Consider the following 25,299-nt stretch of genomic DNA (forward strand, 5'->3'; position numbering starts at 1 on the left):
TGCATTCCCACCAGCAATGAATGAGAGACCCTGTTGCTCCGTGTCTTCACCAGCATTTGGAGTTGTCAGTGTTTTGGATTTATTTTGGCCGCTCTAATAGTGTGCAGTGGTATCTCATTTTTGTTTTAATTTGCATTTTCCTAACGACAAATGATGCTGAGCATCTTTTCATATGTTTACTTGCTATGTGCTCGTCTTCTTTGGTGAACTGTATGTTCAGGTCTTTTACCCATTTTTTTTAATTGGACTGTTAATCTTATCGTTGAGTTGTGAGAATTCTTGGTACATTTTGAATAACAGTCCTTTAGCAGATGTGTCTTTTGCAAATATTTTATCCTAGTCTGGGGCTAGTTTTCTCATTCTCTTGAGATTATCTTTTCCAGAGCAGAAGTTAATTTTAATGCCATCCAGCTTATCAACTTTTCTTTTATAAATTGTGCCTTTATGTTATATCTAAAAAGTCTTTGCCATAATCAGGGTATCTAGATTTTCTACTATGTTATCTTCTAGGGGTTTTATGATTTTGTGTTTTACATTTAGGGCTATGATGCATTTTGAGTTAATTTTTGCAGAGGGTGTAAGGTCTGTGTGTTGACTCACTTTTTTGCATGTATAGGCCCAGTCATTCGAGGACCATTTGTTGACTTTTCTCCATCGTATTGCCTTTGCCCCTTTGTCAAAGTCTATTGACTATATTTATGTGGGTCTATTTCTGGGCTGTGTATTCTGTTTCATTGATCTATTTGTCTATTCATACAGTATCTTGATTACCAAATGATCAATTAGCAAGTGATTAATTAGCAAAATTATATGCAGAAACAAGGGCAGAACACCCATTAATAACTTATAGTGATTTTTCAATTATTTGCGGTTTGGAGGTTTGGAATAGGTATTATACATGTTTAATGTGTCCACAGTGGTTGGAAGCTAAGATAAATTAATATAAATTACAGAAAGGATAACAACTACCTGGCCCTTTAGCCCCCCTCCTTCACTCCAGTTTCACTGCTAATCATTGGGTTGGAATAAGGAAATTCACCATGACATTACATGGTAGCGTCTGTGCCATAGCTGACTCGGGTTCTGTTGCTGCTCTGTCTCTTCAAACTGTGTTTTTGGTCTTGTAATAGACGTTTCAATTTATTGTTGAAAGCCAGACATAATGTAGTGGATAATAGAGACTGAGGCAAGTAGGCCTTTAGTGTAAAATTTTATATTGACCTAGCTAGGGGTTAGACTGTGTTTACAGTTACTACAGCTCTAAGGGTTTGAGGATAAAATTTCTTGGGTGCTTTTGTTTCTATCGCCTCTGTTGCCTTGGGTTTCCCTAGAGACTTCTTAAATAAGGTCTGAGTCACATGGGTCTTTCAGTTGTATTTCACCATTATCATACAGGAGCCCTGTTTTTTTGTTTTTTGTTTTTTGTTTTTATTTTGAGATGGAGTCTCGCTCTATCACCCAGGCTGGCCTCCCGGGGTGGGGGTTCACGCCATTCTCCTGCCTCAGCCTCTCCGAGTAAGTGGGACTACAGGCGCCCGCCACCACGCCCGGCCAATTTTCTATATTTTTAGTAGAGACGGGGTTTCACCGTGGTCTCAATCTCCTGACCTCATGATCCACCTGCCTCGGCCTCCCAGAGTGCTGGGATTACAAGAGTGAGCCACTGCGCCCAGCCAGGAGCCCTGTTAATGCCGTGGCATGGTGTGGTGTGGTGCTGCGAATCACCTGACACTCCTATGATTAGGCCTGTCTTTTAGCGACCCTGTGCAACTAGCTGTGACCTTCACAAGTGCTTCTCAGCCCTTCCCTCCTTAGATGAGACAGGAAGGATAGAGTGGCCCAGAAGTTAAATCTTTTCCTCCTCCCAGGTCACTTAGGCTTTGATAAAACCCCAGTAGGTAAAACTGTTTTTCTTGGGGACAGGCTTGTCAAGAACAGAAGGCTCAGGGCATATTTCAAAGTGGCTCCTTTTCCACCCTTCCTGCTGCAAGCACATGGGAATTTTTCTCCCATTGCCACTGTGAAAACCTGGTAGAGCCCCTGGGGGCAATACTTGCTAAAGTGTGGGGGACTCCTAAGATGGGGCCCCTCATAGTGTTTAACTCTCAGGCTTGTCTGCAAGGACCAGATTTGTCAATTACAGTTCAAGTTTTCCCACCCCAGTACCAGTTCTTGTAAAGTTTTCTGCCCCTGGGCTTCCACTCTGTTAAATTGTGATTCTCCATATCTACTTTTCAATTTGCGGGGGCAGCAGTTTGCCCTGTGACCTCAGTTGTCTGACGGATCTGAGAAGGCTGTTGATGTTCAGTTTGTTCAGTGTTTTTCTTTCATGGTTGGGAGTGATGGCTCCCAGGCTTCTTATATGCTGGATCAGACTGTGACTGTTTCTCAGGATTCCCTAGTAATGACCCTGGTAATTGTAAGGAGTACTAGTAAGGTGTATTGTAGGTTTCTCATCTAATGGAATTTGGCTGATTTTTACATGCTTAGATAGGGATCATGGGTTTTGAAGAGGAAGACCTCAGAAGTGTCCTTCCCATCATATCACACTCTCAACATGATTTGTGACTGCTGATATTGAACCTGATTACCTGGCTGAGGTCAGGTTAGTCAGGTTTCTCTACTTTAAAGCTATTCTTTTTCTCCTTTCTATGTTGTTCTCCTTGAAAGGAAATCACCATACACAGCTCACAGTTAAGGAGTAGAGGTTTATGCTCCCTCCCCTTAGGGTAGATTAACTACATAATTTATTTGGAATTCTTCTGCATGGGAGATTTGCCTCCTCATACCCAATTAATAATTTATTCAATCATCTATTTATATAAATATGAATTTATATATTTATTTATTTATTTTATACATTGAGTAATAACCCAAGACAACTTAATTTTGGTGTGGAAGTTGTCCCAGCTTTAGCCACTGGAATCTCCTTTGCTTGGTGTTTGTGTCCCTTTGAGATATCACATCATTGCGTGTGGTTTTGTTGTAGTTGTTTTTGTCTAGTTTTTGAGCACATATTTACTTTCTGGTACTACAAGGTGTTTTAGGCTCACTTTGAATATTTTCTGCCCCAGTTTTAGAATCAGCCATTTCTCCAAGGACCCATGGTTCCTTTTGTTGGATAATGGCATACAAAACCAAGATCTGGGTACTAGGTATGCTCATTGCTAGCAAAGTATGATTTTCAGGCTCTCCCAGCTGAGAGAGTAAGGAGATAGATGTGTGTATACTAACCCAATAATATATTTTCATATGTAACCATCTGTACCTATATTAAGTTAAACATGGATACTTATGTCAATCTAGCATCCTGTTGCCACTAGGTTTCAATAATCATAAAACATTTTAAAAGAAATATAAATTTTGAATGCAAAAAATGCATTTTCTTATTTATTATGATCTACATTTATGATAAAAATGCATCCAAATTTTGAGCATTTTGAATACAATTTTATTTAACATGTTTTTTCATACCACCTGCAATATATACATTTAATATCTTCATCATCTAAACAACGTTATCGCTAGAATATGAATTATATGATGATATTAAAAATAGCCAATTCATGATTTTGCTGAAATGAACACAAGAACAATAAATTTTATACACTAAATATATAATAATGTATGAATCACACATGTGTTTTAATTTTCTTACCTATATATAAACAAAATACTCTACTATAAACAAAAACAATCCATAAACAGAATACTCAGAATCCAAATTTAATTCAGTCATTTTTGAAATATTGCCACCCTTTAGTTGTATAAAACCCATAGCCTGTGCACAGTGGCTCACACATGTAACCCCAGCACTTTGGAAGGCCAAGGTGGGAAGACTGCTTGAGCCTAGGAGTTCCAGAATAGCCTGAGCCACATAGGAAGACCCTGTCTCCACAAAATGTAAAAACATCAGGAAGGCATAGTGACACACACCTGTGTTCCCAGCCACTTGGGAGGTTGAGGCAGGAGGACTGCTTGAGCCCAGAAGGTCAAGGCTGCAGTGAGCCATGACTGCATCACTGCACTCCAGCCTGAGCAACAGAGTGAAACCCTGTCTCAAAAAAGCAAACAACAACAACAACAACAACACACACACACACACGCACCCACACACCCAAAGCCTTGTTAATATTTTCCTGATTTGTTGTTATGAAGACATTTCTGAAGTAGTAAGAGGTTAGAATGTAGTATATTTAGCAGTTTGAGATTTTGATGTATAATCTCTAAATTCTGGTCTGTGGTATGAGGGTCTCCATTTATGTTCTTGCTTGGAGCCCTGCAGGTGTCAGGGGCAGGCTTGCTTCGTCCAGCTGGGAGGACATACACTCTGTGGCCTTGCAGGAGCCTATCTGTGTTGAATGACATCAAACAGTTTTCCTTTTATTTGGCCAACAGCACAGACCCTCCTCCCTCTCCTTTCCCTGATGACCCTGGTGATGACTCTGTCCCTACTGACCTCCAGCTCCTCCCATCTCTGGAGAATAAACCCCAGAGAGGGGTCTGCCAACTCACAGGGAGAAAGAATTTGGTAAGAAAGTCATGAATATGGCCGGGTGTGGTGGCTGATGCCTGTAATCCCAGCACTTTGGGAGACCGAGGCGGGTGGATCATGAGGTCAGGAGTTTGAGACCAGTCTGGCCAACACAGTGAAACCCCGTCTCTACTAAAAATACAAAACTAAGCCGGGTGTGGTGGCATGCACCTATAGTCCCAGCTACTCAAGAGCCTGAGGCAGGAGAATCACTCAATCCCAGGCGGCACAGGTTGCAGTGAGCCGAGACTGCAGCATTGCACTCCAGCCTGGGCGACAGCGAGACTCCATCAAAAAAAAAAAAAAAGTTGTGAATACTATGACTCTGATACATTCCTTTACCCCTAGTGACCCCCTGAGACATTTCTTCCAGCTCTGTCTTAATAAAGCAGCCTCAAATTTTATAAAAACCCTAGATACTTCTCATTCTGGGACCTGGAAGCCACTCTTACGTAGTATTAGAGACCTTGCCCCCACCATATTCATTCTTCACCTAGCAGCAAGAACGCTTTTTGAAAAACAAGAGTCCTACTGTTTTCCCATTTGAAACCCTCCAAGGCTTCCCAGTGTGCTGGGAGAGAGCCCCACCCAAGTTTCCTAACATCCTACTGAAAAGTTTGTTACAACTAAAGAAACACTTTGTGTAGCTGCAATCGATCCTTTCTTGTCTTTTGTCTCTGTGTCCAGGTTAAACCAAACAGTGTTACAAGAGGCACCTAGTTATTGCTGCCTCTGTAAGCATGGAGACCCAAGAGTTAAGGGCAGCCTGCATCCTGGAATGGAGGCTACAAAGCAGCTGATGGCCCCCTCACACCTGGGATGAAGAAAGCAGGGCCGGGATCCTGCTCTTCTTTCATAACAAATATCTTAATATCTGGAACGTTATCATGATGTCCCTGCCACAGAAACCTGGGTGTTTGCATGTTGAAAATATGTTCTTGTTGTCATTAAGTAGAAAAACCTGCACCCTAACATGTGCCTTAAAAAAATATCAAAACCAGCAATTCTAAGGCCAAGGCAGCATTTTCACAGCTGTCTTCCAAATTCCATGGGTCTATGTTCACTAGCTCCAAAATGCAGGCTTGTTTAGTTACCTAGAGATGCTCATGGTCAGCCATGAGTTCATTCCAGCAGGAAGTGACATGGTGTCCTTCAAAATTAGACTGTCAGTAGAAGCATCATTGAGATCTTCCTGTGGTGTCCGGCACATGAAAATAACTACTTAAAATTTCCTATGCCATAATCATTATATTCATGTTCTATGGAGTCTTCACTGATGGTTCTGTTCAGTAGTTAGAATAGGCAAAGAACAACTTTCGTGAAAAAGTTCTGTGATGTCCCACCTTCTTTCTGAGAAGGATATATAGGCTCCTACGCATGAACTTCAGCTTCTGTATCCCATCTCCTGCATATGAATCAGGCCCCAATTTTCAGTGCAAGTCCCAGCTTTTCCAGGGCAGTCAGCCTCCAATTATTGATTGATGGTACACATACAAAGCCTGATTGAAAAGACATTTTTGGGAGTGATATAGGAGTTCAGAGGAAATCACTTAGGCAGATAGTGAGGGTATGGGAGTCCTCAGTAAGGCTTTTACTTACTCAAGCAGCCTCAAATCATTTTCTAACAAAGAACAGCCTGTAAAGTCGAGTTGCAGACATGGACAAGCAAACTGCGAGCTTGAATGGGTGAAAGCCCCCAGAAACTAGAGACTAGACATATTCAAGATGGTGTCTCCATCTTCCCTTCTCTGTCAGCCACGTGTTCAAGAAGGAGCAGACAAGATGGAGCAGGCCTAGGGGAGCGTTCATTTGCACAAGGGTGGGGTAACCAGCCTTCACATCCGCCCTGCCCCCCCATGTAAATGTCACACCTGATCGAACCATTCTGTGAGCCCTACATAAATCAGACACTGCCTCCTCAAGCTGGACTATAAAATCTGGTGCATCCCTGCCAGCCAGACTTTTCTGCTCGGAAGACCCTTCCCTCTATAGAGAGAGCTGTTTTTCTCTCTCTCTTTTATTCTTTTTTTTTTTTTTTTTTTTTTTTTTTTTTTTTTTGAGATAGAGTCTCCCTCTTTCACCCAGGCTGGAGTGCAGTGGCGCTATCCCTGCTCACTGCAAGCTCCTTCTCCCAGGTTCATGCCATTCTCCTGCCTCAGCCTCCCGAGTAGCTGGGACTACAGGCGCCCGCCACCATGCCCAGCTAATTTGTTGTATTTTTAGTAGAGATGGGATTTCACTGTGTTAGCCAGGATGGTCTCGATCTCCTGACCTCATGATCCACCCACCTCGGCCTCCCAAAGTGCTGGGATTACAGGCGTGAGCCACCACGCCCAGGCTTTTCTTTCTCTTTTCTTCTGCCTATTAAACCTCCACTCCTAAACTCCTCATGAGTGTCCTTGTCCTAAATTTTCCTGGAGTGAGAGGACTGAGAGAACAAACCCCGGGTATTTACCCCAGACAACGTAGCCACTTCAGAAAGGCTCTTTAAAAACTACTCAGTTAATCTATTTCTTCAGATAGTCTAAGCCCTGATTTGAATCAGTTGGGGCCCCTGATGAATTTCCTTCACTAAGCCATGCTTCCCTGCCTCCTCTGTCCTTGGTTTTACTCAAGGAGAACCCATGTAACAGGACCAAGTTTGTTTCACGATGCACAGCAAGGCAATACGCTAAGTCACCCAGTTGCAGCTGAGAAAGAGGTTTCATGGTAAAGCAACCAAATGAGGAGACAGAAGGAAACCTCAACTCCATCTCCCCAAGGAGTTTGGAAGTAGGGATTTTAAGGGGTTTGGATGAATAGTGGGCCGAGGTGTGGGGATCCTTGACTGGTCAAAGAGCATAGGGTGAAGTCATGAGACAAGGAGATGAAGAAACCTCATTCTCATCCTGATTAGGCTCCTCTGCAGGGGTCTTCATGCTGATAGTGCTCCTCTGGGGGGGTCTTCATGCTGCTTGGTATCAGCCATTCCACTGGAATTCAGGATCTGAAAAACATATTAAGCAATTGTTAAACAGAAACATTATTATTCTAGCATCAGAAATCCTATCTATAGGAACAACACGGATGCAAGTGGTCAGTATGTAGTGCTGCATGACTTTCGGTAGCAAGCAGCTACAAGGAAATGAGTGTACTTTGGATTCCTTTTAAAGGACAGAACAGTCAAAAGACTGATCTTAGTGAATGAGGAGTGGGAAGTGTGGAGAGGGGCACAGCAGATTAATGCTTAATTCTATTTCTGTCTAGAACTTGGCATGTAATTCTTGTTAACTCGGTGAGAGTGGTTTCACCCAGACAGACATGGGTCTATTCCAGCATTTGATGTGGAAATGCTGTGGAGAGCAGATGACATGCAGGTGGCTGCTACTTTCCCTGTGAAGTGTACAGGGATCATAGGCATTCTTGATGGACTCAGTAGGAGGGAACCCTCCCCTTGAAGGGCCAGCCCCTTTATCTCTAACAGAAGCTGTGCCCTACCTCTGCCTGGCTGCCAGGAAAGCTCAAATGGACACTGGCCCAAACTCTGCCTCCTCTGTAAACCATTACTTTGGCACTTGTCTAATTGGTTGGTGGGTTTTTTTTTATTTTGAATATTATTTTATTTAAAAATTATTGCACATTTTCTGGCAAGTTGTTTTTCAAAACCTTGTAAGTGGGTGAGGATATCAATCACTTAAACTCTCTAAGAATATTGAAAAGGGACTTCTAGGAGAGAATAGAAAAATGACTACCAAGTTTCCTTTCAGCCCAGAGGTTCCACAATGCAGTAACTTGATTACCTTGGGCTGAAACGCCCTCCCTTTCCCACTGGCTCTGCTGAAAATATTTGTGCCTTCAAGGTAGGCCTTGACAACTAATGGCAGCTCAAGTTTTTCTTCATAATTTATGAGTGATAATAAATGTGCCTGCCGCCTCACTATTGGTGTTCTTTCAAATGGCAAGCGTAGACATGAAAACCTGATGACTCATGAAAATGAAATGTCCCAGCGTGGCAGGTGAATTTCCACACTGACGTAGCTCCATGCTGTTGGTTAAAAAGACAAAGACCCATGAGATTTCTCAGGAGGGGCAATGGGATGCAGCCGGCACATGTCTCTGAGAAGCCGGTGATAGAGCTGCCTTTCCAGCCCATTTCCCCCACATTTCCTTCTGCTGTGCCCCTCTCCACGCTTCCCACTCCTCAATCACTAAGATCAGTCTTTTGACTGTGCTGTCCTTTAAAAGGAATCCAAAGTGCAGATGGAAAAGGCGGCACCTGGTGAGAAGTGGCAAGAGGATTTATAGAATCTGTACCTAAAAGATGCCTCTGTCCAGAAAGGGGGCGGCCACTCTCAGGAATCATCCTCAAACTGAATACAGGCCATCAAGGACCTCAGGGAGCACAAGTTAATTGAAATGAAATCAATCCCTCCAGGGCTTTAATGAAGATGTTGAGAAGCCTGCTGGCAGCTGGGACCCGGCAGGCCAGTGTGAAGCTGTGAGGGACAGTCCCTGGATTAAAAAGGGGCAGGAGCTACAGACTGAGGGAGTCCCTGTGCTAAATGCACCTGCCACTGAGCACTTCCATTCTCAGCCTCTACCTGTCGGACACTCACTGCCGGGGCAGCAAACAATAGACATGGAGATTGGGGGCCTGTGGCTGCTTCTGTTGCTCCAGTTGAGCATTTTACAGTGGAGTGAGGGTTTGATCTTATGTCCTAAGGGGTGATCCTTCTGCTGAAACTGCTAAGGAAACGTAGTCCTTTTCTTTTAACACAGGACTGTAGAGTTTTCTGACAAAAGAATAATTCCACTCTTGCTCCTTAAAATCCATTGTTAGGAGCAGACAAAGAGCAGAACATCCACACTCTCTGTTCTGAACACTCTCTGTTCTGAACACTGCAGACCTCCAGCTGCCCTTCCAGGTCGTCCTTTAGCAGACGCTCTTGGAGAAATGCAGATCTAATCTCATCTGTCTATGTTAAGCCCTTTAGGACTCTCAGAACGGGGTTCAAGTTCCTTAGCGGGGCCAACCAGGCATTATCTGTTTCTCCCTCCAGCGCATCTAACAACACACTCCTCTTTTCCCTTCGCCTCCCAGAGTCGTGCCTCTCGCCTCTCCTGGGGCATCCAAACACAAAGCCTCTCTCCACCTCCCCCTCTCCCAGGACGTGTTGAAATCCTCCTCCAGGCCCAGATCTTAAATGCCGCTGTTCCCGCTCTTCTGCCACTTGCTGTCTTTGTGCTGAGGTTTCCCATCTTACTCAGTGCCCGGAAGAGCATCGGAAGTGGTTGATAAGTGGCTGTTGAATATTGGCTGTTGTATGGATGCAGCTATTACTGGCTGTTCTACATCCTGGAATGTGAAATTAGCAGCCAGCTGAATTAAAACTCACTGAGTATGTTTGTATGGATACAAGAACCTGAGGTTGAAGAATGGTGAAAATAGGAAAAGTGATGACCTACAACTAGTAGAAATCAGCCATTTTAGGAGAAAATTGTCTTGCCTTGAGACAGTGAGGAAAGTGAGGAGGCTTTTTCAATAATTTATGTAAGGAATGATAAGGGCTTGAACATAAACTAAAGCAGAGGGATGGAAATATGGATTTGAGAGTTGCACAAGAGGCCAGTGAATGGGTTAGGTCCACATGCCATCAATCAGTGGTTGACTGGGTGACACGTCCCAAGTCATTCAAACCCACTGAGTTTTGGTTGTCTACCTGTAAAGTGAGCATGCCTCGCCCATGAGTATCTGATAAGCTAATACCAGATACACATCTAGGTATGTGCCTGCCACATTGCAAACCTTCATTAAGAAATAGGTCAAACGAAACATATATATATATATAGACACACACACACACACACTTCCAAGCATTTAATAAGATATAATGAATAAAAAGATATTAAAAAAAAGAACAAAAGAATTTGCAAGATGGAGATGGCTTAGCGGGTAGGGCATAAAGAAATGAGGGGGTAGACATCAGAGCCACCTGGCTGGTACCTCCCATCAAAGGCTGACTTTTAGTATTTGCTCAAGGTGAAAACACCGCACGCATGAATGAGCCATAAAAAGCCAGCAGAAATAACTTTCCTTGCTTAGCAAGTGACACTTCCCACATTGGCCTTTTCTGTTCCTAATTCAGCTCCAATCCCTGGAATGAGTTTTTTCATTATTTTAGGTGATCTGGCTAGCTCCTTCTGCTTTCTTTTTTTTTTTTTTTTTTTTTTGGTTGGTGGGGAGGGGGACACAGTCTTGCTCTGTCACTCAGGCTACAGTGCAGTGGCATAATCTTGGCTCACTGCAACCTCCACCTCCCAGGTTTAAGTGATTCTCCTGCCTCAGCCTCCCAGTAGCTGGGATTACAGATATGCACCAAAATACCTGGCTAATTTTTGTATTTTAGTAGGATTTCGCCATGTTGTCCAGGCTGGTCTCGAACTCCTGGCCTCAAGTGATCCTCCCGCCTTCAAGTGATCCTCTTGCCTTGACCTCCCAAAGTGCTGGGATTACAGGGGTGAGCCACCACGCCCGGCCTCCTTCTGCATTTTGACTTTAACTCTGTGCCCCCAGTTTTGCCTGACTCCTGGAATCTTTTAATGAAAAAAAGTGAACGCAGAATAATAGATGTTAAAATTCACATGCCAGTAGCTTCCCTGACCTAGTTTTATGTTGGTCTTCCATTCTATCATTTGTGCAGGCATCTCCTTTAGATGTATCATAGTTTTCTCGGGCATCCCAGCCCATTCCCAAAGGATTCGAAGGCAGGCTAGCATGCAAATTTGGACTTTTTGGGTAGTTGATGGTGGGGGTGGGTGTGGAGGAGAATAACTAAAACAACAAATACAAGGCTAATGGATCCGAAGGTCTGGGGAATATGACTGAACAGTTTTGTGTTTATTCCTTGTACATTGTGGTACAGAAGGTAGACATAGCCCTGGGAAATTCACAGAAGGAGGTAGAAATTTTATGGAGAAAGAAGAAGGAAAATGGACACTGCATACACAGGAACCAGCAGACTGTTCCTCTGAATTCCTTGTTGGCAGCTCATGCTATGATTTCAGTAAACACCCTCCTCCCACGGGGATGCATGTGTGAAAGCTGAAGATACCAGGATGAATCACTTTTGCCAGACCCAGACAAAATAGGGCCAGGAAGTCCAGAAGGAGAGGAGGCTCATGCTTACCTGTTCGAGATAAGACAAGGACTTTCAAAAGACCCTTTCTCATCCTTCGTGTATCATCTGCTTTGATAAGATTTATTACTAGATATTTTTAATTTTTTTTTTACTCTCAAGTGACATTGACAGCATTAGACATCCTTTAGGATTGCAGTGATTTAGAAAAGATGTTCTCAGAAGAACACTTTCCCAGTAACAGCATTTCTACCAACGAAATGACAGCAACTCTGCTTTGAACTTCTGGAACCAGTGAACTCTGTTTCCAAGCAGCTTACGTAGGTCTCTTTTTGCTAATGAAAGCCCTCCTTACTCTTCCCTCACTGGATGTGCTGGTGCCTTGCCATTCCATGCACTCCAGATCATAATCCTTATTTCTATTTCTGAGCAAACCCCACATAATTAGAGAAAATTTTCTCTAGTGCCATTTTTCTTAGGTTAACAAATGGATGGATGGATAGGTGGAGAGATCAATAGCTTCGCCATGTATATAAGTTGTCATACCTGACACTGGCTTTCTCGTATCATTACATTAGTTGAGCCCTTATCTGTGGTTTCACTTTCCATGGTTTTGGTTAGCTGTGGTCAACTGTGGTCTGAAAACACTGTATTAAAAAATTCAGAAATCATTCTTAAGTTTTAAATCATGCACTGTTTTGAGTAGTGTGATAAAATTAGGCATAATCATCCCTTTGTCTATAATATTCACACTGTAGATTCTATCTACTTGTTAGTCACTTAGTAGATGTCTTGGTTAGCAGATCGACTGTTGCAGTATCATAGTGCTCATGTTAAAATAACCCTTATTTTACATAATAATGGCTCAAAAGTGCAAGAGCACTGTGCCTAAATTACACATTAAATAACATTGTACATAAGGTTCAATACTATCCAGTTTCAGGTATCCACTGAGGGACTTCGAATACATCTCCCAAGAATAATAGGGGACTACTGTAAATTCCTTTGAGGTTCATCCAAATGTTGCCTCTATTAACTCTCTACTCACTGTATTGCTGAATAGTTTTCCGTAGTATGGTTTACCGACTTTTTAAATTCATGCATTTGTTAATTAAGGCAGCATTTAAGCAAAGTTCTGTACAGTTGCTACTCTGCTTGTTATGAGCTAAAACTATGAAAGTGATAATTACTTTCATAAAAACTTTCCGAAAGCTAGAAATTGTGAAAGTGATCAGTCAGAATTGTGAGTGATGGTTTATTAATAGTTGACACTTTTTTCCTGACAGGTAACTGGAGACTGGCACAGAGGAGGCACCCAGTGGCACCTGTTAAATAAATGAGTTGTCTGTGAGTTTCAGAGCTTTGCATTACATGTCTGCCAGGCTTAGGGCCTCTTCCAGCATTTGAGGATGAGTCAATAAGGGCAGCTGGGTGTGCAGTCACAGTGACTGACAGGAGTAGTCTCTGCTTAATTTCCACATGCTAGGGGCACGAAAAGGCCTAATCGGTCTATCAGATAAAGCAGGAAACCCAGGCCAGAACCAAATACCCAAGAAGCAGGAAGGGGGAAGGGTTGATTGTGTGAAATTGGGGGACACAGGTCACGATTTGATTTGGAAAGTGGATTGGCAAGTGTTAACAGGGTTGCCATGGATGGCTGTGCTTGTTATGCACCGCACAACTCCAAAGGATGCCGTTATGGAGCCCCCTAGTGTGCAGTACATGCACTGTACAGTGACATAAACTGCTTTGAGTAAGAAGGAGGCCTGGAGTCAAATGACCATCAAAATGGACTTGATATGACTGCAAAGTTCTTATCATTCAAAAGGAAGACAAGGCCCAGAAAGCAGGTAGGGGAAGTTGTTCAACACCAAGTAGGGCAAATTTAGGCAAGATCAGCCTTCTATGGCTCCAGCCATATTGGCCAAGAATAATCAGTGCCATTGGGTGCCTCCTCTGTGCCAGTCTCCAGTTACCTGTCAGGAAAAAAGTGTCAACTATTAATAAACAATCACTCACACAATTCTGACTGATCGCTTTCACAATCCAGTTTCAGGTATCCACTGAGGGACTTTGAATACATCTCCCAAGAAGAAGAGGAGACTACTGTAATTTCTTTGAGGTTCACCAAATGTTGCCTGTATTAACTCTCTACTCATTGTATTGCTGAATAGTTTTCCATAGTATGGCTTACTGACTTTTTTAAATCATGCATTTGTTAATTAAGGCAGCATATCCTATAAGACTATGATATCCCATTGCGTGTCTTTCTCTTGGGTGCCTCAGCTCAGAGACTTGGAGTTTAGGGGTCTCCTGAACCAGATCCAGGTTAAGAAGTGAGACTTAATTCTAAGTCAAATCTGGGAGCCTGGGCCAAGTGGGAAAGACTAAGGCTCATACATTTAAATCCTGCTTGGGCCAACAAATGGGGCTGGCTTACAGGGAGCTGAGAAAGGCAGAAAACGGTTATACAGGGGAAGTTGAAAGAAAAGCAGCTCTGCTGGTCCAGTCTCTCGGGGTCATGTAAAGGACCTGGAGAATATGGCATTATCACATTACTAAATATCTTTGTATTATTAAAACATCATTTATCACAAAAAAAATTTCAAAGGTAAAGCAGGGTTAGGGACTAAAGTCCCAAGACAACAAAGATGCTATCTCCTGCAGGAATTTCAATGATCAGGTGCTTTATAGCTGTAAGTGTGTTTTGTTTATTGTAAAACAAAATTCTGAAACTAATTTATCAATGCTAAAACAAATAAACAAACTCAAAAGCTTCCTTCTTTGTCCTTAAATTCGTGTGCTCAGTAGCTCTTTGGAGTGTTCTGTCATCTTTGTTGGTGGTGGTGAGATGTGCTGCAAGTGAACTTGGAAGGTTAAAAACAAAAATGACAATAAAATCTCAAAGGCAAACAAAAGAACGCAGGTCTCCTTTTTTCCTACTTTCAGCTTTAGTTCCTGGTTCTAATCAAGTTAGAGCCAATCCCAGTCAAGTCTTAGCAAATCCTCTTATCTAATTCATGAATCTCATTATACCTAATTCATGTTGTAACAACTCCTGCACTGGGAAAAAAAATGTCTGAATTAACAAAAATAGAAGGACCATCTGTGACTGTGTGAGCCCACCATCAGCGCCACAGTCCCGTGTGACTGGTTTTTGTAGGACGTGTCTTTATCTGTGTGTGCAGAAATCATAAGCCATATTATACCAACAAAAGAAAGCAAACCACTGATGTGACTGTCGTTAGGTGAAAATGTTGCTCAATGCAAGGCTACCCTTGGACTCCTACTGGGGCACACATCTCAGACTAAGGGTATTTTGGCGGTAGCCATGCCAGGCCAGCAGAGGGCAGCTCCTCAACTTCCCCTTCCAGTCACCGAGTCCTCAGCAGTCTTGCTCTACACATCCCCTTCGTGGTCCCCTTCTTCCATTCCCACCGCCATCCCAGTTCAGGCCTTTATCAGTGATCACCTGGACTTCAGCAAGGGCCTCCTCCCCAGCCCATCCTGCCCATGGCCACACAGGCTGCGTTCAAAGTGAGCTTCCTAATAGGCATTCTGGACTATGCTGCTTGTCAGATTCGTCTTTCAGTGGCTTTAGCTGCCTTCGATATGTGCTTTAAACTTGTTATCTGAGCAAATAAAAGTACTTCAACCTCATGACTTTCCTCATCCCCACTAGCACCCAAAAACTCCTATGACCCTGAAATAAGAGCCATCCTAAATGCCTCTCTCTCTCTCCTCTCTCCCCAACTTCTTTCTTGTGATAACCTTTTCACCTAACATGACATTACCAAAAATGTTATTTCAGTATGACTAATGAATGACTAAATTCATTCATGAATTCCTCAGGAAAAAACCTTTCCCTGGCCTCCTTGAAGTCTGCCCTCTGTGCCTTTTCTATGCATTTTCATGATGACTGTTATTATATAAATATCCTTCTGTCACATCAATTCTCAGACTCTTTAATCATCTCTTTTCCAATCTAGGCTGACAGATTCTTCAGCATAGGGAGAGATGGTGTCCAAAGCTCTTTCTACAAACTTTACCACTCAATCTGGAACATAAGTATGCTGAAATGTGTCTGTTAAAATGAATGAATGGATTCTCTGAAAGTACTTTATTATTTCAGTAGAAGTTTAGAAAGATGTTTTCTGCTCTGTTAGAATGAGATTATAGTACAGGAAGGGGGGTAAAGACAGATGGAAACTTCAATATTAAGACATTTCTGTGCATACAATTTTTGAGATGCATTATTCCAATTAATGATTAAAAAAAGAAATAGAATAAGAGCCAAATTCTTCTTCTGCTTTTAGCCAAATATCCAAAGTTCTCTATGTTAGATGACCTCAAGTTTACTGTGATCTGTTCTCAGCATTTGCAGAAGCTGGGAGTTTTGCTTCATTTTGTTACAGATGAGGTGGCAGGAACAGCTGAGTCGGAGTCTGCTTTTCACGGATTGCTGTCACAAAACATCCAAAATGTCCTTATCTCAATGCCTGGGAGTGTAGGGCCTGATCCCCAGCCTAAACTCCTTTCTAAGTGGGTAGAAGCCAGCATAATGAAGGAGAGCCAGATTTCCTGAAAACCTTTTATGCAGTAAAAGGTAATAAAGCCCCCCAATACTTGGGGCTGAAACTCACAATTATTTATTATTTCTCACAGTCTCCAGGGCTGACAGCCTGGGCAGTTCTTCTGTTGGTATCCCCTGGCTCCTACATGTGCTGTAGCCACTGGTGTTGACCAGGCTGGAGGGCCCAAGTTGGCCCCATGGCCATGCTGGCAGGTGGTATGGCTGTTGGTCGGGGTACCTCCGTGTGCCCAAGTAGCCTCTCATCTTCCAGGACGCTGATCCAGGACTCTCCACAACACTGTGGTCTCAGTGTTGCAAGGGAGTGAAGGTGGGGGCTGTAACCTATACTGGGGCTCAGGAGCCTGCCCAGTTCATTGTCCCCCACTGTCCATTCATCAAAGGCAGCCACGGGAATGCCCAGGTTCAGGGGTTGGGAAAGAGACTTCTTCTCTCAACAGGAGGCATGGCATTGTAAAGGCCCTGGAGCTCATGGGGGGTCCTGAACCAGACGATCTGCCACAGCACAGACCGCATCAGTACAAGTAACTTGTATTGATCTAGACTAGTGCTAGCTTGAGACTGAGACAAAATTAGAGAGATTCACAGTAACATCAACAGTTGCCATAAAGGCAACAGGCTTGGAACAAAGCAGTGGATAAAGAGAAAAGCCCTTGCCTTTGCTCTGTAGCAGGGACTGTCCTGAGACATGTATGTGTAGATGTGCTCATGGGCACTGGTGAGGGGAGACTCGATTTCATCCTGAGCCTGATCCTGAAACATGGTCAGCCCACAGTGCCCCAGGGAAAAGACTGACCGGAGACAGAACTGTGATGGAAAGTTCAGTGCTGGAATCAGTGAGGCCAGGGCAGGGCTGTGAGGCAGTGGGATGAAGAGGGGCAAAGATACCACCTGCAGCTGCCATGAAAGGGAGCATTTCTCTACATCCATGAATGGAGTCGTTGAAGGAGCCCAGGCTGCCCGTATCCTCTATGGCCACCACTTGTGGGTTCCAGCTCCTCTGAGCTCTCAGTCTGTAAAACGCCATATGCAGAGAACAAGTGCATCTGTGTGTGTAAGGCATCACAGACAAAAAAGTGAAATCTTCTAGATTTTTAGAAGCACTGGGAAACCAGTGGTCCTTAGTCCAAAATCATCTGGTTCTGATGCTTTTGGAGTAAGAAGTCTCCCTGGGTATAGAGTGTGCTGCTGGGGTGTGGCATGAGGACCACTGCCTTTGAATGACTGGTGATCTCACGATGCTTTAACGGGGTGGGGAGGTGCAGCTTGCAGAAAGTGGCCCTCTCAGGATGGACTGGAATAATGGGGAAAAGACTATGATATCCCATAAAATTGAATCATGGGGAAAAGACTATGATATCCCATAAAAGACTGTGGGGTTCCAGAACTGGCTCCTTATTTTCTGTGGTGACACATGGATGTGGTGTCTGGACACCTCACTGCTGGTAGAAATATATGAACCTAAGCATGGAGAGTCAGCATTGCACAGAAACAAACAGGCAGCAGGCTCATCCTGGGAAACCTGGGCCTGCACAGAGGCCGTGCTCCCAACACCAGGAATCCTGCGCTGATGAGTGGGCTATGCAGGGGTAGTTGAGCTGAGTGATGGAGTGCAGGGGCTGATAGGCCCCCCAGACTGATGCACAGGGACAAAACCCTCCATGCAGGGAGCTCTTGTAGGAGCCCTGGGTGTCAACATGGAGTTTAGAGAAGCATTGGTGATGCATAGGTGAGGGGTCCTCTTGCTGCAACCCCAAAACTAGTGAAAGGAGGCAGTCCCTGGTGGACAGCCACACATTCCCCAAGCCAAGGGACAGAGCAGAGGTCCCATGGGACCACATATTTTTGACTCCTGAGCCAGGCAGTGCATTCTCACCCATTATGGTCAGGAGGAGGTAAAAACCTTTGGATGGTGAAAAGCTAAAAAGAGCTTTTACTGACAGCTGTCTCACTACAAAGAAACAGGAGATTCCTGAGTCAAGAACTATGAAGCAGACTCCTGGTGGCAGAGACCTGAACACAGCGGTAACCATAAGACTAAGTTTTGCAGAGTAGAGCTTTCATTACTAGGAGTTCTACTAATGCAGTTTCATATGCGCCAGCCATCTCCCTGGACTTGTAGAAAAGCCTTCCAGGTAATATTCACTGTTTGAAATTTCAGAAAGTGCAGTTTTTGTGACAATCCCAAAGTGACTAAATAATTGCCATGGAATGAAGAACACCAGCAGCCATGAACATCATCATACAATGAGAGCCTGTTCTAATCCTTAGCTGATATCCACAGGGTAAACCTTGATTTGGTGATTTCATCATTGAATTTGGGGAATTAGTCCACAGGGTTGGGGATTTAAGCCACAAAGTTTAGGAGACTTAAACACATAGGAGGCATATATAAAATTCTCCTATATGAAACTTAACTCATATAGAAGATCTAAAAATATACTTTATATCATAGTCTGTATGATAAAAATACATACGCAGATACCACTGATCTATCTGATTCATTTGCTAGGGAGATCTTAATTCTTTGAGTTTTAGTAATGCTCTGTTAAAAATTTGATTCAAACTGACACCATTAAAAAAGATACATGAGTCACCAATAAACACATGAAAAAATGTTCATTAGTCATTAGGAAAATATAGATTACAATCACAATGAGCTACCACTACACACACACACATAGACACACACACACAGACACACACACACGAGAATTGCTGAAATTAACAACAACAAATGATTGACAATACTAAGTGTTGGCTAAAATTTGCAAGAATTGGAATTCAGGCACTTTGAGAAAGTGTTTGGAGGTGTCTTATGAAATTAAACATAAGCTTACTATAAAAGTCACCGGCTCCACTCCCAGGTATTTACCCAAGAGAAATGAAAGTATGTGCACACACAGAATTGTACAAAAATGCTCCCAGCAAACAATGCCCACAGCCAAACACCTGGAATAAACTAAGTATCCACTTGCAAGTAAAAACGAATGACTACTGACACAAGCAGCTATATGGATGAATGTCCAAAACATGTTGAGTAAAATAATTCAAACACAAATGTATATAGACTGTATGATTCTGTTTATGTGAAATTCTAAGAAAGGCAAATTTAAACTATTGTAACAGAAAGCAGTTTAGTGGTTGTCTGGGCTGGGGGCATGAGTATTGATTGCAAAAAAAGCACAAGGGAATTTTGGATGTGACAGAATACTAGATGCCTTGATTATGAGGATGACTGCACAGTACATAGATGTGTCAAAACCCATCAAAGTCAACCTAAAATGGATGCATTCTGTTGTAGGTACATTTTACCTCAATCAAGTTAGTTTGTAAAGCTCCCTAAAATGTGTTTGATTATATTATTATTAAAGAAAACTGTGACGACATGACTTCGTATCCCTGCACTGTGGTGTCTGATCAATTAGTGAGGGCGACGCATGTGCCCTGTGGCTTCTGTCTCCACTTTTCCTAATCAGGCATTGAGCTTCCCTCTGTTTGTACTTCGTCTCGGCTTCCTGTTCCTCTTAGCCAGAGAGCCACTTTGCTAATGGGATAGGTCTTCTCTGTTAGATGCCGGCAGTGATCAAATAATTCCCCAGCGATTAAATCAAACCCAGTCTCCTTCTGCATTGAAATATTGATTATTGCCAGGTTCATTTCTGCTTAGTGCCCAGAAGATCCTGTTCCTGACAAGGAAATGCCATTAGCATTTTTTTTTCTCCTTTTCAACATAGAGACTTTTTCTCCCTACAGTTGATAGAAATAATGTATTTTTTTATATTAGCCACACATATAGTTGTTCTGTATTGATATATTTTGCCAAATACCAGAAACAATTTTAACAGGACAGAACATGATATTTGGGTCTCTTCATGACAGGCAATGATTTCAGAAAACACTTATTAAATGATTAGAAATACTTTCTCCAATCAATTAGTTAAGTACAAGAAATTAAACTCATTCGGCTGGGTGTGGTGGCTCACACCTGTAATCCCAGCACTTTGGGAGGCTGAGGCAGGTGGATCACCTGAGGTCAGGAGTTTGAGACCAGCCTGGCCAACATGGTAAAACCCCATCTCTACTAAAAATACAAAAATTAGCTAGGCATGGTGGTGGGCGCCTGTAGTCCCAGCTACTCAGGAGGCTGAGATAGGAGAATCGCTTGAACCTAGGAGACGGAGGTTGCAGTGAGCCGAGACTGCACTGCACTCCTGCACTCCAGCCTGGGTGACAAGAGTGAGACTCTATCTAAAAAAAAAAAAAAAAAAAAAAAAAAAAAAAAAACACTCATCTTTAATGCATCATCTGATGAAGTATGAGAAATGTTTTGAAGCAGAAATGAACACTTTTTTGGGCCATAATAAAATGTCATTTCAAAATATAGATTTCCCCAGGAAGAAAAATGACCTCTCAAAGAAGATTTTATATTCTTCACCATAACTGGAGATCAATGGTGCCTTCTGTGATGATGTCATTTGGGACCAGAAATAGCATCTTTTATTAAATCTTGTCTGAGATTGACCCATCCTAAACTGAACACAGCAAGGAAAGCCAAATCTCTGGAATAAAGATTGTCTCTCCCTCTAACACGGTTTCTTGCAAGATGGTCCACAATTTTTTCAAGGTACAAAAGTCAGATTGATATCACAGTGGGGTATTTTTCAAAGCAGATGGTGTCCTTTTATTTTTCCCTTTTGATTCTGATGGCAAGCAGCATTGTGATGCCAATTTCCAGGTGCAAAAATTGAATTGACCCAGCAGATATTCCTTGTGAAAGCAACAATCAATACAAGGAGAAGGATGTCCCTGCTGCCATGGGCTTGTGTCCATCTCTTAAGGTGGCATCAGGGAAAGAGTCTGGGGCTGAAGGAGGGGAGAAGAGAGCGTCTACATAGTCTATTGAAAGGAATCCTAAGCCTCTGGTCCTGGCCTTCTCTCCTCCCACAGGGAAAAATTGGTGTGGTCCAAAGAATCAAAACATCCCAGAGTCCTGCTCCCTGGTTTTGATTTTACAAATTGGAAACATCTCAAACATTTTCTCCTCTGACATAAGAATAGTAACTTGAGCTTCTTATACTTTTCTCCCTATGGGTGAGGAGTTCCTTGCAGGCAGGGATAGGGAGTCTGTGCATTACATATGCCCGGGGCCCAAAGGTTTAGCTGCTTGGAGTAGGAGCTAGGGAAGTGAGGAGAAGCATTTGTGTTCAGTCATCCTGGAGCTCTGCTTCGTCCAAGGTGACACACCCCAAGCCAGATCATGACTGGCCCCTGACTTGGAAGACTGAGTCGTTGTCATAGCCAGGGCACCTGGAAATCTGCGATAGGCTAAGTGATTGCATAAAGGACACATCTTTTGCAACCTGATCGCCTGTCACCCTAGGCACCAGAAAGGATCAGAATCCAGCCTAGTGCAGGAGAAAGCAAAGCCAGGAGCCAATGAGATGGCCTGTTACAAAGGTTCTGTCCAATCCTGGCGTCTGGGTGGCAGCACAGTGAGCCAACCAGAACCTTGCTTTCAGGAAGGTGGGTGCGGGCAGCACGTAGTAGAAGTGAGGGAGGAGGAAGAGCACAGAGCGCATGGAATGCAATGGGGCCGTGAGGGGCGGCAAGGGGCCCAGCGATGTCCGCCTACTTCCCAGGGGACTTCCGGGGTTATGGGTTGGGAGATGATGAAGACTTCTCTCCAGAACCGCCAAGACTGTTGCCCCACTTCCCTGGGAACTCTCAAAATGAGCCTCCTGTCCACACCTGGAGCTCACCGCGTGTTTCTGTGTTGTGTAAAATTCAATCTTTGATCATAATGGGATTCACTTATAAATAAAAAATGCCACATGGCTGGCAGCCCCAACACTGCTAGAAATAATTACATATTTTCAAACATATGTGTAAGTTATGAAGTAATACTCTTTGAAAATGACTATTTCGTGAAAATGAAAACTTGAAACCTCTACAAACCGCTGCAACTCAGTGAAAACCAACAAAACGGCGAACGGTCAGACCGAAAGGGAAAGAAACCGAAGCAGTACTTAAAGGGAAGCGCGTGTTTGACATGTCTCTACTAGGGAAAAAGAAACACTGAAAACCAAAAAGCTACGCATAGGAGCCATAACCTAAGCTCAAAGAAAACAGGGCAAGAAGTAATAAAAATAAAAGTAGCAATTAATGAAAGAGAAATCAACATCATCAAAAGCTGGTTATTGACCGGTGAAGTTGAACCACCACAGTACAAAATTGATTGAAGAAAAAGTGAAAGAAACAATATTAGGAATAAAAACTAGTATATAATACAGATATAGCAAAGACTTAAATATGAATTTTAAAACAGGTAAAATTGACAAATTATTAGAAAACTCTAAAGGACTGAATCAAGAAGAAAAAGAACACTGAACAAAATCCTATTACTTTTGTTTTTAAATAAACTGCGTGAGTATTTAAGCCTTTCCCACAAAGGTTTTGCTTAGTTTCCCAGGCAAGTTTTTTAAGACTCATAAGGGCTCTTCCATGTGTACATTTGCCATGTGCCAGGTATTATTCTCATTGGCCTATGTGCATTAACTGATTTAATTGTCACTGGGACTCCACTTGCAGGTAGTGTTATTCTAATCCACAGATGAGTTAGCTGAGGCATGGGGGAGCTAAGCATCTTGCTCGTGGTCACACAAATGGCAGAGACAGGATCTGAACTCAAGCAGTCTGTGCACAGATTCCCCAACCCCAAAATGCCCTGGACACACAGATGATTTCCTAGGAAAAGACAATTTCCGACTTACAGAAACCTTTCCAGACCAGCTCTCCTTGTATTGAGGCTGACCTCTAACCCTGATGCCAAAAGCAGATAAAGAAAGGGAAGGAAAATTAGACCAATCTCTATCAGGAACAGAGATATAAATACATTTTCTACAAAATGTCTTTAAACAAAATACAGGCATGCACTGCAAAATGATGTTTCAGTCAATGAGCAAACCATGTGTATGATGGTGGTCCCATAAGAATATAATACAATATTTTTAGTGTACCTTTTCTATGTCTAGATATGTTTAGATACACAAGCACTTATCATTGTGTTACAATTGCCTACAGTATTCAGTACAGGGACACGCTGTACAGGTTTCTAGCCTTGGAGCAATAGGCCATACTATATAGCCTAGGTGTGCAGTAGGCTATGCCGCCAACATTTGTGCAAATGGACTCTATGGTGTTCACACAATGACAAAGTCGCCTAATGACACACTTCTCAGAATGTGTCTCTGTCATTAAGTGACATATGACTGTACTGCATTATATAAAAAAGATAGCACTCAACTAAATTGAGATTATTGAAGAAAGCAATTTTGTCAAACATTGGAAAATTATAACTTAAAAATAATATAGTTTGCCACTTTCGTAATGAAAGGGAAATGACCATATAGTTAGCTCAATGAAATCAGAAAAATCACTTGATAAATTTGATAAAAAATTCAAGGCAAAAACTCTTTTCAAATGAGAAATCACTGAAAAATTCTTAATCTCATGAGAGATACATACCAGAAAGGTATGAAAAAAAAAATTCCACTGAAGTGTGAAATGTCAGAAGCATCACCTGTTAAAATAGGAAAAAGATAAGGAAGGATCCCTACCACCCACCGTTTCCATTCTGTGCAGCACCTTCTAGCCAGAGTGACAAGACAAGCTCAGGCCCCAGGGACTAAAATAACAAAACTGCTATTATCTGCAAATGCGATTGTCTATATAGGAAATTCAAAGATTCTACAGACAAATTATAAGAAATAATAATTGAACCTAGCATTGTTTAATATAAAGATTATATATTAACATCTGTGGTATTCTGTACTCAAACAACTATTAGAAAATATAATTAAAATATTTCACTTATGGTGGCCAACAAATATAAACAGCCTATAATTTTTAATGTAAGACCGTAACATGAAAATGTATGACATTTTATTGAAAGTCATTATACAAGTCTTAAAAAAATGGAGAGACATACCATATTTGTAGCCAGAAATTCTTCATATTCTGGAGCTGTCAAATCTCTCCAAATTGATCATCCAGTATAATACAATTCCAACAAAACTTCACCAGGTTTTTCATGAGATTTGACAGGTTGATTTTAACCTGTGTGTAAGAGAGACATGGGTGAACTAGTTTCTTCCTATGCCTCCTCAGCAACTGACAGACTCCAGGCAGCTGGTATCTGTTCGCAGGTGTCCTGGCAGAAATCAGTCTCACTTCTCTGCCCCTGACCTGCAAAAGCTTGGCCCTGTGGTATGTCCCAGAGGTGTGCCTGGAACCTGATCTCCACCCATGCCTCCCAGTGGCACACAGGGCACATGGCAGATGTCCACTAACATCCCTGCAACTCCTCCGGGCACTGTTCCCTCCCCAGGGCTGGTGCCGTGTTGGCGGGGAAGCTGGTTTCACCTAGTTGAGGAGGAGCCTGGCCTCCTCTGTGCTCTGCTGAATCTGCCACGGTGCTCCAGGGCCAGATTCTCTCAGACTTGAGGGGCCCAGGGGGTCCTTCTCTCACTTTGCTAAGTCTCTGTGGGGAACAAAAGTGATGAGTTTTCCCTCAACTGGGCACCCTGCGCAGGTGACTGAGCTCTCCCTGCATAGGTGCCCTCAGTCACAAAGCGGCAGGGACCCAGCTGCCCCTTGCAGTGTCCTGGGGATTAAGTCGAATCTCTCAGGCTTTAGCAGGTAGAAATCAATGGTGGTTCTGGCCTCCACTACAGAGGAAAGCCGGGGGGATTCTAGATGAATTCAGACCATTATCTGACCCATTTCACCCCTTCCCTTCCCCACACAGGACTCTCTTCACCAGCAGGTGGTGTCCATCCCATGCTCACAGGGGAACCACCTGTGGGGTTCACCTTTCAGAAAGATGCCGTGGGCAAAAGCAGGCAGCCTCTGGGCCAACACTGCCCTGCCCCACACCAACTCCTCCCCTGGAAAATTTCTTCGCCTAACCCTCGAAATTGCCCTGGGGCCTCTCGGCAACCCTGTGCATGGGTCACCAGCTTCACTGGACAGATGAGGAAACTGAGGCCCAAAGAGGT

The 25,299-nt window shown here is 43.0% G+C and overlaps 1 long non-coding RNA gene across 2 annotated transcripts, besides 2 other annotated features; it reads right to left on the reverse strand.

Moving 5' to 3' along the window:
• Positions 1-4,040: 4,040 nt before the first annotated feature.
• Positions 4,041-24,464, reverse strand: WAKMAR1 (wound and keratinocyte migration associated lncRNA 1). Of its 2 annotated transcripts, XR_001754557.2 has the most exons (4): positions 24,231-24,464; positions 7,411-7,520; positions 5,629-6,033; positions 4,041-4,352 (listed from the first exon to the last, which is right to left on the reverse strand). It is a non-coding gene; the product is annotated as a wound and keratinocyte migration associated lncRNA 1 (long non-coding RNA). The 2 variants fall into 2 exon arrangements; XR_937390.3 differs by lacking the exon at positions 4,041-4,352 and having other exon boundaries at positions 4,784-6,033.
• Positions 4,458-4,661: a silencer, noted in NCBI's record as "fragment chr20:24072588-24072791 (GRCh37/hg19 assembly coordinates)". NCBI's record gives its function as "represses an EF-1alpha promoter that drives an FKBP-Casp9 reporter gene in an ReSE screen in phorbol 12-myristate 13-acetate-treated (for megakaryocytic differentiation) K562 erythroleukemia cells {active_cell/tissue: K562(+PMA)}" and the evidence as "EXISTENCE:reporter gene assay evidence [ECO:0000049][PMID:32094911]".
• Positions 15,055-16,254: an enhancer, noted in NCBI's record as "CDK7 strongly-dependent group 2 enhancer chr20:24083185-24084384 (GRCh37/hg19 assembly coordinates)". NCBI's record gives its function as "activates an origin of replication core promoter dependent on BRD2, BRD4, P300/CBP, MED14 and CDK7 cofactors, with strong dependence on CDK7, by STARR-seq in HCT116 cells {active_cell/tissue: HCT116}" and the evidence as "EXISTENCE:reporter gene assay evidence [ECO:0000049][PMID:35650434]".

Source organism: Homo sapiens, chromosome 20 (assembly GCF_000001405.40).
Source record: "Homo sapiens chromosome 20, GRCh38.p14 Primary Assembly".
NCBI lineage: Eukaryota > Metazoa > Chordata > Mammalia > Primates > Hominidae > Homo > Homo sapiens.